This window comes from Homo sapiens, chromosome 18 (genome assembly GCF_000001405.40).
Source record: "Homo sapiens chromosome 18, GRCh38.p14 Primary Assembly".
Lineage (NCBI taxonomy): Eukaryota > Metazoa > Chordata > Mammalia > Primates > Hominidae > Homo > Homo sapiens.
The window spans coordinates 76,858,997-76,875,403 of NC_000018.10; the positions used below are offsets into that span (position 1 = coordinate 76,858,997).

Consider the following 16,407-nt stretch of genomic DNA (forward strand, 5'->3'; position numbering starts at 1 on the left):
GGTGGAGGAGAAAGGGGGAGAGGGCTCAGGTGGAGGCAGGTGCAGGTGGAGGAGGAAGGGGGAGAGGGCTCAGCTGGAGGCGGGTGCAGGTGGAGGAGGAAGGGGGAGAGGGCTCAGCTGGAGGCGGGTGCAGGTGGAGGAGGAAGGGGGAGAGGGCTCAGGTGGAGGCGGGTGCAGGTGGAGGAGGAAGGGGGAGAGGGCTCAGCTGGAGGCAGGTGCAGGTGGAGGAGAAAGGGGGAGAGGGCTCAGGTGGAGGCGGGTGCAGGTGGAGGAGGAAGGGGGAGAGGACTCAGGTGGAGGTGGAAGTGGAGCAGCTCCTGGTATGTCTTGCACGTGTTCCCAGCTTTCCTCAGACTGTGCTTTCTTAGTGTCTCATGAAGTTTTTTATAGACTTTCAGGCAGAACCCAAGGGTCTGCGTATTAACCAGTTAGATCTGTATGATCTAGTAAGTATTTCTGTCTTAATAACTTAATAGTTATTTGAAAGACCAACCCGGGTGTGTTGGGTACTGCACAGCGTCTGTATCCTTGCATTTCCTATTTACAATCATTCGTACATTGATTTTGGAGTTTTCTCTTCCACGTGGTTCTTCACTTCATCTTTGATCTTTAACCACAGCAACCGTGGAAACTTAGCTTCACAAAGACATGATGTTATTGAAACTGAAGTACCTCAATCTAGTTTCTGGGTGTTATTGGTCAAGTGTGGAGCACCGCTGTTTCCCTTGAACATGTGACCTATTCCTGGGCCTCCTCATAAGCTTGTTATGGTGCACTGCAGTGCCTCAGTTCATGGGCTGGGGCTGAGGCCTTAGAGCCCACATTTCTCTGGGAAATGGAAACATTACTCTGTCTTCACCAAAAACATGGGGTGGCCTGAGGCATCTAGAGATCTGCATGGGGTGCCTATTTTGGGAAATGAGAGCAGAGCCTGAGTGGGGCACATCTGTGGGTAGCCCTGGGAGCTGAGAGCCCATCTGGTTGTGGAGTCTGGGCTGGGCGGGGGTATGGTCTGCTTTCCACCGCTCAGCCGCTGGGAGGAGTGGAGATGGTGGTTTGCCTGGAGGTGGGGGCTTCTGAAGCATGTGCTGTGGAATAACAAAGGAGTCAGGGCCATGGGAATGTTGGCGGGAGAGCTGAAATGTTGAGCCGTGTGGTCTAGGCAGAGAGGTGAAACTTGAGGGGTGTGCGTGAACCCTCTGTTAGGATGACACAGGTAAAGGTGGTTGAAGATGTCTGTGCATGCCACATGTTCTGGGTGGCCCAACCCGAGGACGACATGAAGGGCAAAGATTACCTCTAAGGCTACACCCATCTACAGGGGTCACCAGCACAGTGAGCTTTACCGTTTTCCATTCTGAAGTTCCTTCAGATGTGCCTTTTAATACTTCACTGTGATTTCCTCCATCACTGGAAAGAGAAACAACTGTTAGCTGTCATTCGCAGATGTTCTAAAGTATTTATACCTTATTTTGAAAACCTTCCCTTCGTCCTGTTTTCTCTTCCACAGATGGGCCAGGTTCTTTCCAGATCACTTCCCACAGTGGTGCTCACATTCTTTGCTGTTTGCTTCAGTCCCTGCCTCTGCTGTTGTGTGGTTTTGTTATGCCGTGGTCTCCTGGGTAGGACCACATCATCTGAACTTTGTGCAGCCTACTCTCATCCAAACCCTCAGTTCTGTTTGTAAAACTCCAGCTCCCTTCGTCTCTTGCTGTTGTGGTTGTAAGAACTTACACATTCCTTCGCTTCTGACTCCTTTTTAAATTTTTTTGAAAAGTCTTTTGAGAAATATGTGTTTTCTGAAATCGCTTGACTTTACATTTCTATTACTACTCACCCCTGCTTCTGGTTTCTCCCTTCAGCACACAGCAGGCTGTCTTTGATTAATAACTGCTAACAGGAGAAGAAAGCGGGGAAGAGTCATGGAAGAGGCTTTGCTGAAGTCTGGCGTGAAGCTGGTGAGGGAGCTGTGAGGATGCTTCACAGCTTCCTTGGCACTGTGTGTCTGTGCTGCCGGAGGAAGGGTTCTGGAAGTTGGGCTGTCACATTCAGCCACCTGAACTTAGCACCCTCATACTGAGCTCAAGATTTACATGAGCAGAGGGGAAAAAGGCCTCATTGTGCTTGTTCTGTAATAACGTGTTGGCAATATGTTGGCTCTCTTTTTTCCAACTGTTGTGTTGATGCTTAGGTCAGAGTTTGTGACTGTGCCTCCCTCACCTGGCAGGCTGGCGTATGTGGTACAGAGCTGGTAGGGCAGCCGTGCCCTCAGGTTTGTCCAACATCTTCATTTGTTATCTCTGAGTTCTTTGCTTCTGAACCATGGTTTACAGTGAGAACGGGAGGAGGAAGGTGCACTGCTTCTCTTTAAAGGCGTTATCTGGAAGATGCATTTCAGTCCTGCTCACATTCAGTTGGGTAGAACGTAGTCATCAGGCCAGTGATCTAGTGGTTGGGCGGCTGCGAAATAGTGTTGAGTTGATTAGCTGTATGCTCAGCCAGTAAGTCTATTATTGCATAAGAAAGGAAGAATCAGTATTGGAGCACAATTAAAAGTCTTTTCCCTGTATGTCAAAATAATACATTCCTTGCTGCCTTTGCATTTTGTGTTTGATTTTTCAGTTAATTGATTTGAATATGGCATATTAATAGTAACTAGAGGGATAATTTCTTACCTTTAATTGTATTTAAAAATAACCTCTAAGGTTCCAGCCACAGTGGAGCAGCTTCCTTCTCCTAGGGGTCCCCCGTATCACTATTGTTAGAGATAACCAGCCAACAGGCACAGAAGGACTCTGAAAGGCATCAGAGGTGGCGGACGGTTGGAGGGACTTGAGGAATAATGTGGCCGTCAGCTCCCATTATTTCTTTTTTCTTTTCTTTTTGAGACAGAGTTTCGCTCTTGTCGCCCGGGCTGGAGTGCAGTGGTGCGATCCAGCTCACTGCAAGCTCCACCTCCTGGGTTCAAGCCATTCTCCTGCCTCAGCCTCCCGAGTAGCTGGGACGACAGGCGCCCGTCACCACGCCCGGCTAGTTTTTTGTATTTTTAGTAGAGATGGGATTTCACTGTGTTAGCCAGGATGGTCTCAATCTCCTGACCTAGTGATCCGTCTGCCTCAGCCTCCCAAAATGCTGGGATTACAGGCGTGAGCCACCCTGCCCGGCCTGGGTTTCTTTTTTTCTTCCCAGACACCTGGACACGGTTTTGAAGAAGCCTGCAGCCTTCTGCCAACAAGCGGAGAAGAAAAACACTCCAAGAAAAGCTGGTTTCCCTTAGCCAGTACTGGGAAAAGGTTGGTCCAACAGAACAGAAAATCTTTTTATGGTATTTACTCAATTCCAATGAAATGCCAACTGAAAAGCTGCTCAGCGGAGCCGAGTACAGCATTGAACTTCTATCCCATTCTGCCCCCGTCCCTTGGGAGCTGGCAGCACTTCGATTTCCCCGGTGCTTGGGCCCAAGCAGGGAGCTAACCTTGCATCCAGGAGGGGGATTCTCCTGGCAGAGGGAGGAGACACCCAGAATTCCCCTCCCAGCGTGTTGGCAGAGTCTATCTTTGGAAGCCCGGCTTCCATCCTCCCTTAGCAGAAGCAGGGAGTGTTCTGATTCTCCCTCCAGAGTGTGTCAGTGGGTCCACTAGGGAGTTGGGCCTCCCTCCCCATCAGTGATGAGACAGAACCATGCAAGACAGACAAGTCTGCACTGTGCTTTCCTCCCACTGCGGTCAGTGGGGCTCTGCGAAATGGGTCTCTGCTGCTGCTGGTCCTTACACTGCATCTGAACAGGGCAGCTGCTGCTCAAAGGAGAGCCCAAGAGCTGGTCCCACAGTTTAACACCCAAAGTGTCTAGGACACAGACACGAGCCAGCACAGTCCCTGCTGGAACAAGGAAAGAGCGGTATCAATATGAAGAGAGCCTGGACATTGGAATTACCTGACAAGTACTTTAAAGCAGCTGTCAAGAAAATGCTTTATGAGTTTTGAAACAAATGAAAAAACAGAAGAAAGAAATAGAAGAAATAACCAAAGGGAAATTATAGAACTGAAAAATCCCATGATTGAACTAAAGAACTCAGCAGAAGGGCTTACTGGTGGACCAGAGAGGACAGAGGAGAATCAGAGGAGAACCTGAAGATAGAGCAGCAGGAATGACTTAGGCTGAGCAACAGAGAAGAAATAGAAAAATTAACAGGGCCTCAGGGAACTTTGGGACAATAACAGAAAATTCTACATTTGCATCATGGTCATCACAAAGGATAGGAGAAAGAGTGTGGGGCTGGAAATGTATTTGAAGAAATAATGGCTGAAAACGACCCAGACTTGGTAAAAGTCATAACTCACAGATTGAAGAATTCCAAACAGGATAAACCCAAAGAAATACACACCAAGACATATCATAATGAAACGTTTGAAAACTAAACCTAAGAAAAAAATCTTGTGAGAGACTAGAGAGAAATGATCTGTTGTTTGCAGAAGAACACTGATTCAGGTGACAGCGAATTTCTCATCTGCCTCCATGGAAGCTAAAAGAAAATAGCACAAAAATTTTCAATTGCTGAAAGAAAAGAATTGTCAATTACAAATTATTCTTCTTCTTTTTTTTTTTTTTAAATTAGAGACGGAGTCTTGCTGTGTTGCCCAGGCTGGTCTCGAACTCATGGGCTCAAGCGATCCTCCCACCTCTGCCTCCAAAGTCCTGGGATTACACATGTGAGCAACCATGCCTGGCTACAAATTCTATATGTGGTAAATGTCCTTCAGGAACGAAGGAGAAATAAAGACATTCTTAGATGAAGGAAAACAAACTCTTGCTAGCAGACTTACCCTTAAAGAATCACTGAAAGATCTCCAAACAGAAAGGAAATGACACCAGAAGGAGGCTTGGAACTTCAGAAAAGAAAGAAGAATGGTGTGGTGGTTAATTTTCTGTGTGAACGTGGAGAGTGTTTTTGGATGAGATTAACATTTAAACCATTGAGTAAGCAGATTGCCCTCCATGATGTGGGTGAGCCTCCTTCAGTCAAAGACCTGAATAGAATGAAAAGACTGACTTCCCCAAGTGAGAGGGATTCTCCCGCAGACGGCCTTTGGTTGTCACTTACATTATCAGCTCTCCTAGGTCTCCATCTGCCAGCCCACGCTGCAGATTTGGGGCTTGTCAGCCTCCATAATCATGAGACAATTTCTTACAACAAATATCTTTTTTTTTTTTTTTTTTTTTAAGACAGAGTCTCACTTTGTTGCCGAGGCTGGAGTGCAGTGGCACTGTGTCGGCTCACTGCAACCTCCGTCTCCTGGATTCAAGCAATTCTTCTGCCTCAGCCTCCAGAGTAGCTGGGATTACAGGCATCCACCACCACACCCGGCTAGTTTTTATATTTTTAGTAGAGATGGCGTTTCACCTTGTTGGCCAGGCTGGTCTTGAACTCCTGACCTCAGGTGATCTGCCCGCCTCGGCCTCCCAAAGTTCTGGGATTACAGGCGTGAGCCACCGCACCTGGCCAACAAATATTTACACACACATACACACACACGCACATGTGTTTGTTCTGTTTCTCTGGAAAACCCTAACACAAAAAGAATAAGTAAGAATACAAAATTGGGGTGAATATAATACACTGTTCTTCTCCTTATGAATTCTTAAATCATAGTTGATGGTCGAAGCAGAAATTATCATCTAGTGTGCTCAGTGTACATGGAGGAAATACTCAGGACAGTGATATTTAAAGAGGGAAAACGGTACAAGACTCTGAATGGAAATAAGGTTTTCCGTACTTCTCTCAAGGTGGTAAAATGTCAATGCCAGTAGATTGTGATAAGTTCCGTATGTATAATCCTACCTAGCACAATCTCCAAGAATGCCATACAAAGCAATGTACTCGAAAATACTACTAATAAATCAAAATGAATTCTAAGAAATTCTAAAAAGTAATCCAGGAAGGGAAGAAGAGAAGCAGAGGAAAAGAAACAGTGAGCGATCAACAAATAATGACAGACTTCAGCCTTCAGATACCAATAATTACTTTAAATGTAAGTACGTGAATTAAAAGACATTGCTGGCTGGGCACGGTGGCTCACGCCTGTAATCCCAGCACTTTGGGAGGCCGAGGCGGGCAGATCACCTGAGGTCAGGAGTTCAAGACCAGCCTGGCCAACATGGTGAAGCCCCATCTCTACTAAAAATACAAAAATTAGCTGGGTGTGGTAGCGGGTGCCTGTAGTCCCAGGTACTTGGGAGGCTGAGGCAGGAGAATTGCTTGAACCTGGGAGGCAGAGGTTGCAGTGAGCTGAGATCATGCCATTGCACTCCAGCCTGGGCCACAAGAGTGAAACTCCATCAAAAAACAAAAAACAAAACAAAACAAAAAAAACCTCTCATATGATCTAACAATACATTGTCTCCAAGAAACTTACTCCAAACATAAAATGGCCCAGCACAGTTCCTGGCAGGTAGAGAGTTCAACTAGTGACAGCTGTTGGAATTATTGCTTTTTAAACTATTCACCACTTAGGACATTCAGAGAGCCTTCTGAAGAAAGCCACTTCGTTTGGTAGAAAGTGCAGGTACTTTGAGGTCTGGGGGAGCTGCTGTTGCTCCTTCAGTGAGGTTGAAGATGAAGTGAGATGAAAGTCAGTGAAGCACCCAGCAGTTTGTTGGGTGTAGACAGTATTGGGGGCACCAGTGCAGGGTCCCCTGAAACCTTGGAAATAGGACTAAAATTGCTTCCTAAGGGTTAAACTCTGAAATCATCAACATTGGATTGGAGTAGTAAAAAGTTACAGTTAAAATGGGTGCATTTGTTATATGTAAAGTATGCCTCATTAAAATTGGTTTAGAAAATAACCTGTAAACATGTCTTCTTAAATATACTTAGGAACTAAATTAACTTTTTAGTTTAAGGTGTTCCGTTTTTAAGTTTTACTTTCAGAACACTGAAATCTAATTTTTAGTTACTGCTCTATTGAGATTTATAGTCTAAAATTCACACTGGTCACTACTCTGTCCAAATAAATCTCAAACCCAGAAGAGTAAACCAGAAAAATTACTGTAGTTTTTAAATCACTTAGGAATTTTTCTTAAAAGTCACATAATTATTGAAGGTCACATTATTTTTTGAGTAAATCACTTCCCTTAAGGGGTGTTACAGAATGTTTGGAGAAACAACACATGCATGCCCACACACACTCAACACAAACAACTTTCCCACGGAAGACATTGTTCACATTTATTGATCATCTCAGTGGCACGTACAAATGAATAGTGATGGATCAGGTTCTGTAAGTGTTGAGGGAAGAGCAGCGTTTTGTGGGGTGGGTTTGGGGTTTATTTTGTGTGTTGAGCAGTAGCCGAGGTCAGCAGAGGCACACTGCATTAGGAAAAGAAGCATGGCTTCTGAGAAGGCCAGGACAGGAGACAGGATGATGATGGGGGGGATCCTGGAGGGGATTCGGAGAAGGGGAAAATCCCAAACACTCGGAGTCTGGTGAACACACGCTGCCATCCGAGGGCCGGGGTTGGACAGGAGAGCAGCCTTGATGCAGTCAGTACCTAGCATTGCACGCTCTGGTCTTTTAGAGATGATCGTATCTTCAGCAAGGTGGAGACAGATGAAAATGCCATGCATTTCTCTTGATGATTTCCCATGGCCACTTAGCATCATGAGAATTACCCCAGGACAGCCTCTGCCTCTAGGTGAGAGATGTGATGTTAACTCTGTATGGAGGGTGCAGTAAGTGGAAGGCCCGTTGTCCTAGTGGCCTGTGACTATACATGGGGTGTTGTTCTTCTTACAGAAGAACACTTCCTCAAGTGTTGCCAGGGCGCGCAGGGGGAGGGAGGAGCATCGTGGCTCTTTTTGGCTTGCAGGAGAGAAAGCAGAAAGACAGTGATGTAGCCGTCTGTAAGCTGGCAGGTCTTGGCTGTGGCCTGGGAGGTGCTGGATCCTGCTCGCACCATCTGAGCACGTCGTGCATAAACTGGGGTTGTCACTCAGACAGATCCAACAAATGCCTGAGTAATATCCGTGTAGATATCCCTGAAACACATGAATCAGATCATTTGGTAAAAGAGTAAGTGAAAAGAGGGTGGGTGTGAGCCAGGGCAGTATCAGTACGGAGAGGAGCGGGCTGCGAGGGGTTTTGTGATGTGATTTTGAGACAGGAGGCATAGTGGGGAATCATTGGTAATGAAAGCAGTGCATTTTGTTCAGATGCATTCAGGACTGCAGAGGTTTTTTTTTTTTTTAAGAGCTGCATCAAATTATGATTTTTTTTTGTGGGGAGTTTCCTAGAACAAATTTTCTTTTATCAACAAGTCACTAAAAATTTAGTAGTTTATTATTTCCTTAAATTATTATACAATAATACTACTTTAAAGTTATTTAAATGATTTTTGGATTTCTCAAAACATTTCACTTTTCTTTGTCTTTTTCTGCAGTGTAGCTAGAGGTAGTATCAATTAACAGCCTCATTTTAATGAGGTTTACAAACATTTATTTACAAGACTAGTATATGCAGATCAGAAAAAAGTCTGATAGGAAAAAATCAATGTATTTTTATTTGGAAATAACAGTTTATGCTCATTGACAGGTCATGTTTTTTCATGTTTGTACAGTTCATTTTGAGGATCATTTAAGTAAATACTGTAATTGTGTGATGGAACTCCAAATGAGTGAATTAACTGAAATTTGTACTAAGTCAGCAATGGCTACTGATGAAGTAATTATTGAGTTCTCACTCTAGGCCACGCACAGTCAGCGTCTTACAGGTGTCATTTTGTCTAACCTCGTAACAGCCCTGTGAGGGCAGGGGTGATTGTTATCCCTGTTTCATAGGCTCAGGGTGGGCAACACACCCAAACTAGCAGCTTAGCTAGTGATTGGCAGCCTTAAGGTGAACCTAGACCCAGCTGTAGAACATCTAGACCAGCATCATCTAAGTGAAAGATGAGGAATTTAAAATTTTCTAGTAGCCACATTTTTAAAAGAAAAAAAAAACCCAAACAGGTGAAATAAATGTTAATATATTTATTAAAATATGTCCAAAATATGAACTCAAATATGAAAGATTACTGAGCTGTCATTCTTGTATTTTTGCTCGGAGTCTTTGAACTCCTGTGTGTGTGTGTGCTGCAGTTACCCCACGCCTTGCTTCAGAGGGTCCCTGGTTCACACGCTCAGTCAGCCGGGCCACAGCCTGCACTCTGCTCTGCCTCTGAACCAAGCAAGACAGTGATGTGGTCTATCTACTAAAAACTTGGAAGCTGGCATTTTGTTTCAAGGTCGTCTCTTAAACCATAATCTTACTTTGAATTCTTTCCTGACCCTTTGTAGTGCTGAGGTCATCCTACTTCTCTCTAAAGCGCTCACAGAATAGGCGGACCCAGTGCCATTACCCAACACCACTTCGAAGCAGAACTCATTTTGCTCAAAAATTGTGTCAATCTCTCACCCTTTTCCCAATGTTTCTGTCTTTTTCTTCCAATAAAGAAATGATTTTTGTATATTCAAATACATTTTTGAGAGGTGAAAGTGATGCTTGTTCCAGAGGAAAGTATTAGATCAAAATCAAGATTAGAGAGACCAAGTAGTTTTCATTTAATTTGTGTATTAACCGTTGATCATACCAGTTCTTTGAAGGAGTGGTTTTGAAAGGTTTGCTCTGCTCACCGATGGGTTTTCTCTTCCAGAATCTCATCTGTTCTGAGTGTGGGGATGAGTTTACTCTGCAGAGTCAGCTGGCCGTGCACATGGAGGAGCACCGCCAGGAGCTGGCTGGAACCCGGCAGCATGCCTGCAAGGCCTGCAAGAAAGAGTTCGAGACCTCCTCGGAGCTGAAGGAACACATGAAGACTCATTACAAAATTAGGTATGAGTCATTACATGGGCTTGGTCAAAAATCCATCTAATATGTTAAAAGCTGGCGCACTTTGGTACGACCCACTGGAAATATTTGCTGCAAGAACCCAGCAAAGTGGAACCCCACAGATAATTTGGTGTCAGAACGTCTTTTATAACATGCATGGTGCATCCCTACACATTAATGAATAGTGTCAGGCTATGTGAGTAGAAGTGTTTACCTAGTATTATAATGTTGAAAGCTGTAGAACAGGATACTGGCAATACATGTTTATGGGTAGGTAACAAAATATGTCAACTAGACTCACAAGGGTTTAATTAGTACTCCTTTTAATAAATTAGTTTGTGGTACCCAACCGTTAAAACTCATATGTGCCTGACACTGTTCTTAGCGTGTATATAAACAGAACCTCATTTCATCATTACAAACAACCCTGTTAGGCCAGAGTACTTTTATGTTCCCATTTTGCAGATGAGAAAACCAAGATTAGAGGAACCAAGTAGTTCTATGAGATTTTGTAGCTTATAAGTCAGGAGTTTGAAATTTAAACCATAAGAGTCTGATTTTAGAGCTCATAATCTTAACAACTGACTATATTTGAATGCATTTATACATTTATTCGTAGTCAAACTTAACATGTTTTTAAAAATTTTATATTTTGCCTAATTCCTGATAATATATTTTTACTGATGTTTCTGTTTCTTAATAAAGTGAAATAAAATATTCTTCCTGGCCCTTTGCTCAAGTTAGCTAATGGTGATAATCAGTTTTCACACTAATTTAGCTAATTTCTCCAACAAACTCTAAAAGGCAATATTGGGCCAGGCACAGTAGTTCACACCTGTAATCCCAGCACTTTGGGAGGCCAGGGCAGGCGGATCACCTGAGGTCAGGAGTTTGAGACCAGCCTAGCCAACATGGTGAAACCCGGTCCCTACTAAAAATATAAAAATTAGCTGGGTGTGGTGGCACATGCCTGTAGTCCCAGGTACTCGGGAGGCTGAGGCAGGAGAATTGCTTGTACTCAGAAGGTGGAGGTTGCAGTGAGCCGAGATCGTGCCACTGCACTCCAGCCTGGGCGACACAGCGAGACTCTGTCTCCAAAAAAAATAAAATAAAATAAAGGCAGTATCAATTATCATTTTAACTACTATATTATCAGTTTAGCTTGCCATCCTTCTAAGCTGCAATGTTTAGGAAATATCTGTACTTCTTAACAACAAGAAGTTCCGTGCCAGTTGATTACCACAGTTTATAAAATGCCTGAAGACTCTAATGTTTATTTAGCCTCTTAGACATTGCATTTGAGAAATGTGGACTGGACATCTCTGTATGATCAGCTGTCTCCTGTCTTTTTCATTTTGCCTCTTGTTGACTAATGTGGTACGCACCTAATGCTTTATGATTTCAGTGATTTTTTTTTTCTTTTTTCCCCAACCAATTTGATGGTAATTTCAGTGATTTTTAAACCCCCAAATATAATACATGGTCTCTATACACTCCAGATTTTTATTCTCATGAGGCTTTAATGCAGGCATTTTTGATGTTTCCTTGGAGGTTTGAAAGATGATTGAAGATGTTTAGGTGCTTGTGGCACTCAGACAGTCCTGGCTTCTAGGTCTTTCCAGACTGAGGAGCAAACCAGACAGACGAAGCCTCGCCCTCACAGAACTGCCCTTTAGTGAGAAGATAGGTAGTGACCAAGTGAGTGGGTTAGTCGGTACCACAGTTTCAGATAGTGGTGAGTGTCAAGAAAGAAGGACAGTGGGATGGGTGTGTGCAGTGTGGCTGAGGGAGGCTGGGGAGGCAGCTGTTGTGCGTGGGCCTTTCTGAGTGGGGCTTTTGGAAGGAGACTGGGGTGAGGAGCAGGGAGCCCTGCAGCCTTAGGGGACCCACCTTTCAGGCTGAAGGAGTGTGTTGGTGGAAGCAGTGAGCCTCCCTGGTCTGAGAAGCAGGAAGGTGGCTGGGGTGAGGAGAGCCTGCCCGGCGGGGCTGCGGATGTGCATTTCCCATGAGTGAGATGGGAGTCCTTGGAGGGTTTTGCACAAAGGGAATGGTGTGACCAGACTTTCGGGTGGCACTGGGCCTGGTGTGTGGGCAGGTGTCAAAAGCAGGGAGACCTTTTTGGAGGCTATGGAAGCAGTGCACTGGAGAGCCGAACCCGTTCTGAGGCCGCAATGGTGGCTAGAGGGTGGAGAGACATGTCCACATTTGGGGGTGTTTCAGAGTAAGACCAGCAGCTTTTGGAGATGGACTAGAAAAATCCAGTGTGACTCCTGAGACTTAAATTTGTGCAAGAGGGAGCTTTCGTGTCTTGACATGGAAAGGAGCAGGTTGGGAATCAATGAAGAGTTCTGTTTTGGACACCACCCATGAGGCAATGCCAAGTGAGAGTTGGCTGTCCAGGGCTGGAGCCAGAGGAGGAGGCAGAGTTGCTGGAGGTAGGAGTTTGGACATCATTGGTATGCAGATGGTGCGGAGAGCAAGAGACTGGAGGAGGTGGTGTGGGTCAGGTGTCAGTGTAGAAATTATACCCGTAGCATCTTTGTTTCTGACCATCACAGGTAAAGCTTTGTCTAGAAGAGACATTTTGCTCCCCCTGTCCCAATTTCTGTTTTTGACCTGGAAAAAACAAATTTTTTTTCATCAAAAATAGAGAAAAATGAGTTTTATGATTTTTAAAACTAACACATATACACACAGACACATACATATATGTGATTGATTTATCATTAAAACAGGTTCTGATGACTAGTCAGCCAAATTTTCTGGTAGGATTTTCATTTTGAAATTATGGTACAAGGGAGACATCTTACTGTGTATTTTGCCCCCCTTTATTACACTAGGGTATCAAGTACAAGGTCTTATAACCGGAATATCGACAGAAGTGGATTCACGTATTCGTGTCCGCACTGTGGAAAGACGTTTCAAAAGCCAAGCCAGTTAACGCGACACATTAGGATACACACAGGTATGAAAACACTGACTTCTGGATGACTGACCGTGTGGCTGGAAGGGAAGAACAGGTGCCTTTTTGCTAGCTCGACTTGGAATCTGATCCCAGCTTTCTCATAGTTTGCTGGATAATCTTGCTGAAATTAGTTACTCTTTGTGTGATTTTATTTCCTCACTTGAAAAATGTGGCTCTTTTATCTGTATATAGCTGTCCTAAATTATACATTAACAAATATACTTAGTGCTCATTGAAAAGTGCTTGATACATGGTAGGCTGTTAATAATTGGGGGTTGATGTTATTACTGTTATTGGTATGGTATTTATTCCCTCATTTGTTGTTACTGTGTGTCAGATATTATACTGCACTAATTAGAGCTAAATTAACAAAGACCGGATGTGGTGGCTTACATCCATAATCCCAGCACTTTGGGAAGCTGAGGTGAGGGGATCTCTTCAAGCCAGGAGTTCAAGACTAGCACGGGCAACATAGCGAGATCCTGTCTTTACAAAAAATACAAAACTTAGCCAGGCGTGGTAGCACCCACCTGTAGCCCTGAAGTGGGAGGATTGCTTGAGCCTGAGAGTTTGAGGCTGCAGTGAGCTATGATCGTGCCACTGCACTCCAGCCTGGGTGACAGAGCAAGAAGGTCCTGACTCTTAAAAATAATAAAATTAAAAACAAATAAAATAAAAAACAAGGAAGCAGTGGATTTTCATATTCTTTTATAATTTTGCCTTCACTACGCTATGAAACATTGAAATAATAAAACTATTTCTCCATGCCTTATCTTGTTCCTTAGTTTTGCTTGAATATTTGAAAGTGAGTACAGCATTCATAGCTGAATACTCTTTGCCATCTTGTAAAGAGCAGCCTGGTTATAATATTGTATTAGTAACACGCATGATCTCTAGGGAAGGAAAAAGGAAAATTGTACGAATATTTTTAGTATTTGAGGTTTGCAATTAAAATGATCCATGCTTTGTCCTTTTGTTTTCTTCTGTATTTCTTGATTTGGTTTTCTTTTATAGTGATAAAGTAAGAAATCTCACAGCTATTTTGCTTGGCTGCTATTGTTTGTCAAGCAGTTCTATTATGTTACATTGCTTTTTTTTTATTTTTCAGAGTTTTAGTGAATATTTCTATGTAGAGTATTGTGGAGTCATTCAGATGATTTCAATGTTTATATGTCAGCATAAAGTTAATATTTTTAGAGCATCAGTTTTTATTTATTTTCTAGAGTAAGAGAGAAAGAAAACAATGCCTTTGTAAATGTGCTAATACATTGTGTCTGTAGAGTATTCAGCTTTAATGTGTAGTCTTTGAAGTTTTAATCAATGAAAAAATAGTTTAAAAAGTTATAAACTTTACCCAAAGTAGAGATAAAGTAAAAAGTAAAGCAAATCCTTCTCGTGTTCACTTCTCAGTTGTCATTTACCTTTAACAGTTTGATATCTACCCCATTAGATGTTTTTTACGCGTACATAAATATACCGACATCATGAGCATACTCTCACTCCTAGAGAGACACATGCGTGTAGAATCACATACTTAGGTGTCATTTTGGGATTCTGTGATGCTACTCCTCCTGCATTGAACTTGAAGCATGTGTCACTTGCTCCAATTGGCTTGTGAGCTGCCTGGAGAGAGCAGCAGGTCCCAGCCCCAGGAGTCACGTAGGCCGGTGTGGTTTAAACAGGAGGCTGGCGGGCCCGGGTGGAGGTGGCAGGGAGTGCCTGCTTGCTGTTCAGGCAATTCCGTGTTCTGGGCTTGGTCTTCCAATAGCTGTGCCTCACAGTGTGTGTGATGATGTGAGGGGGGTGACCAGAATCCTGCTGGACCATGCCTGGATTGTGTATGCCCCAGCAGGGCTCCTGTCCAAAGGAGGCTGAGTACATTGCAGCATCGTCATCTAGAACAGGAAGGGTATCTCTTCGCAGGCAGTGTCGTGACTGGGCCACACTCTCGCCGTGCCTCCTGCCTGCCTGCCCTCCTCTCCTGTCTGCCCTCCTCTCCTGTCCCCACGTAGGCAGTGCTGTGACTGGGCCACGCTGTCACCGTGCCTCCTGCCCCCCTGTCGTCCTCTCCTGTCCCCATGCGGGCAGAGCCGTGACCGGGCCACACTCTCACTGTGCCTCCTGCCCGCCTGTCCTCCTCTCCTGTCGCCACACAGGCAGTGCTGTGACTGGGCCACACTCACCGTGCCTCCTGCCTGCCTGTCCTCCTCTCCTGTCCCCACGCAGGCAGTCCCATGTCCAGGCCACACTCTCACTGTGCCTCCTGCCCGCCTGTCCTCCTCTCCTGTCCCCATGCAGGCAGAGCCGTGACCGGGCCACACTCTCACTGTGCCTCCTGACTGTCTGTCCTCCTCTTTCACACCCTTGCCCCCTCCGAGTTAAAGCAGGGATTTTTACCATTTGTGTACTGTCCCCAAGCTTGTTATATCTCATTCACTTATTTAACCCTAAAGCTGTTCAGAGAAGCAGGGATCTGATGTTATTATGAACTCAGCTGCTTTCTGTTTCTTAGGGAGTGAAAATTTAGTAAGACTAGAAATTTAAGTAGCCTTGCAGTTAGGTTCTAACCTAACTCGATTTTGTCTTTTTGCTCATTCCTTCATTCATCAGATCCGTACTGCATGCTAGTGTGCACAGGGCCCTGTTCTAGGTGCTGAAGAGCCGCAGCGCACAAGCACTTGCCTTCTTGGAGCGTGCATTCTAGGGAGGGGAGGTGGACATTAAGTAAAATGTAAAAGGTCAAATGCTGAGAAGTCTGCAGAAAAATCAAGCAGAGAAGGGGGCTAGGGGTTCCCAGGGAGGACACAGGAGATTTTAATGTTAAATGGAATGGACCGGAAAGTCCTCAGTGTAAAGACGATTTTGAGCAAAGGCCTGAAGAATCTGAGAGAGCAAGTCTTGGGGATACTGGGGCAAGAACCGCCCAGGCGGCGGATTTCAGAGGCCCGGAAGTGGAGAAACCTGCCTGGTGTGTCTGAGGGCGGTGGCAGAAGTGGGTAGAGGGAGCAAGAGAGCAGGGGCAGGGGAGCTGACAACAGCTGGTGTGCGAAGCACTGCACTGGCGCCTCCTCTACTGAGTATTAGAAGAACTTCGATTTTACTCTAGGGGGGATTGGAAGCCATTGAGGGTTTTCAGCAGACAAGTGACTTGCTCAGACTTAAAGAGGGTCATTTTGTCTGTTGTTTTGAGAGCAGCCTAGGAAGGGGCCAGGGTGGAAGCAGTGAGTCAAGCTGGGGGTGGTTTCAGGAGCTTTGAGTGATAGGGGAGTGCCTTACCCTGGGGTGGTGGTTGTGGACGGGAAGCAGGGCTGCTCTGGGTGTATTTTGAAGTTATTATTGAGTGTGAGACGTGAGAGAAACCAAAGATAAGGATGACTCCAAGGTTTTTTGCCTGATCCCCTGGAAGGATGGCATTGCCTGATCCCCTGGAAGGATGGCATTGCCTGGGGAAGCCCACAGGTGGAGCAGTTTGCGAGATGGTCAAGTGCAGTTTTGACATGTTAATTTTGAGATTTAAAGTAGACACTTGTATATATGCATCTAGAGTTCTGGGGAGACATTTTGGCTGGAGGGATAGG

At 44.8% G+C, this 16,407-nt stretch overlaps 1 protein-coding gene across 7 annotated transcripts in view; it reads left to right on the forward strand.

Annotated features, from left to right (window-relative positions):
• The window catches only part of ZNF236 (zinc finger protein 236), a 150,345-nt gene that overhangs the window by 36,440 nt on the left and 97,498 nt on the right, over nt 1–16,407 (forward strand). For 6 of the 7 annotated variants that reach the window (NM_001306089.2, XM_011526168.3, XM_011526169.4 and 3 more), the window contains 2 exons: nt 9,689–9,867; nt 12,705–12,829. In NM_001306089.2, coding sequence (NP_001293018.1) covers nt 9,689–9,867; nt 12,705–12,829 — 304 coding nt within the window. Of the gene's footprint in view, nt 1–3,189; nt 3,294–9,688; nt 9,868–12,704; nt 12,830–16,407 lie in introns of all 7 variants that reach the window. The other variant, XM_011526166.3, reaches the window with a different exon arrangement.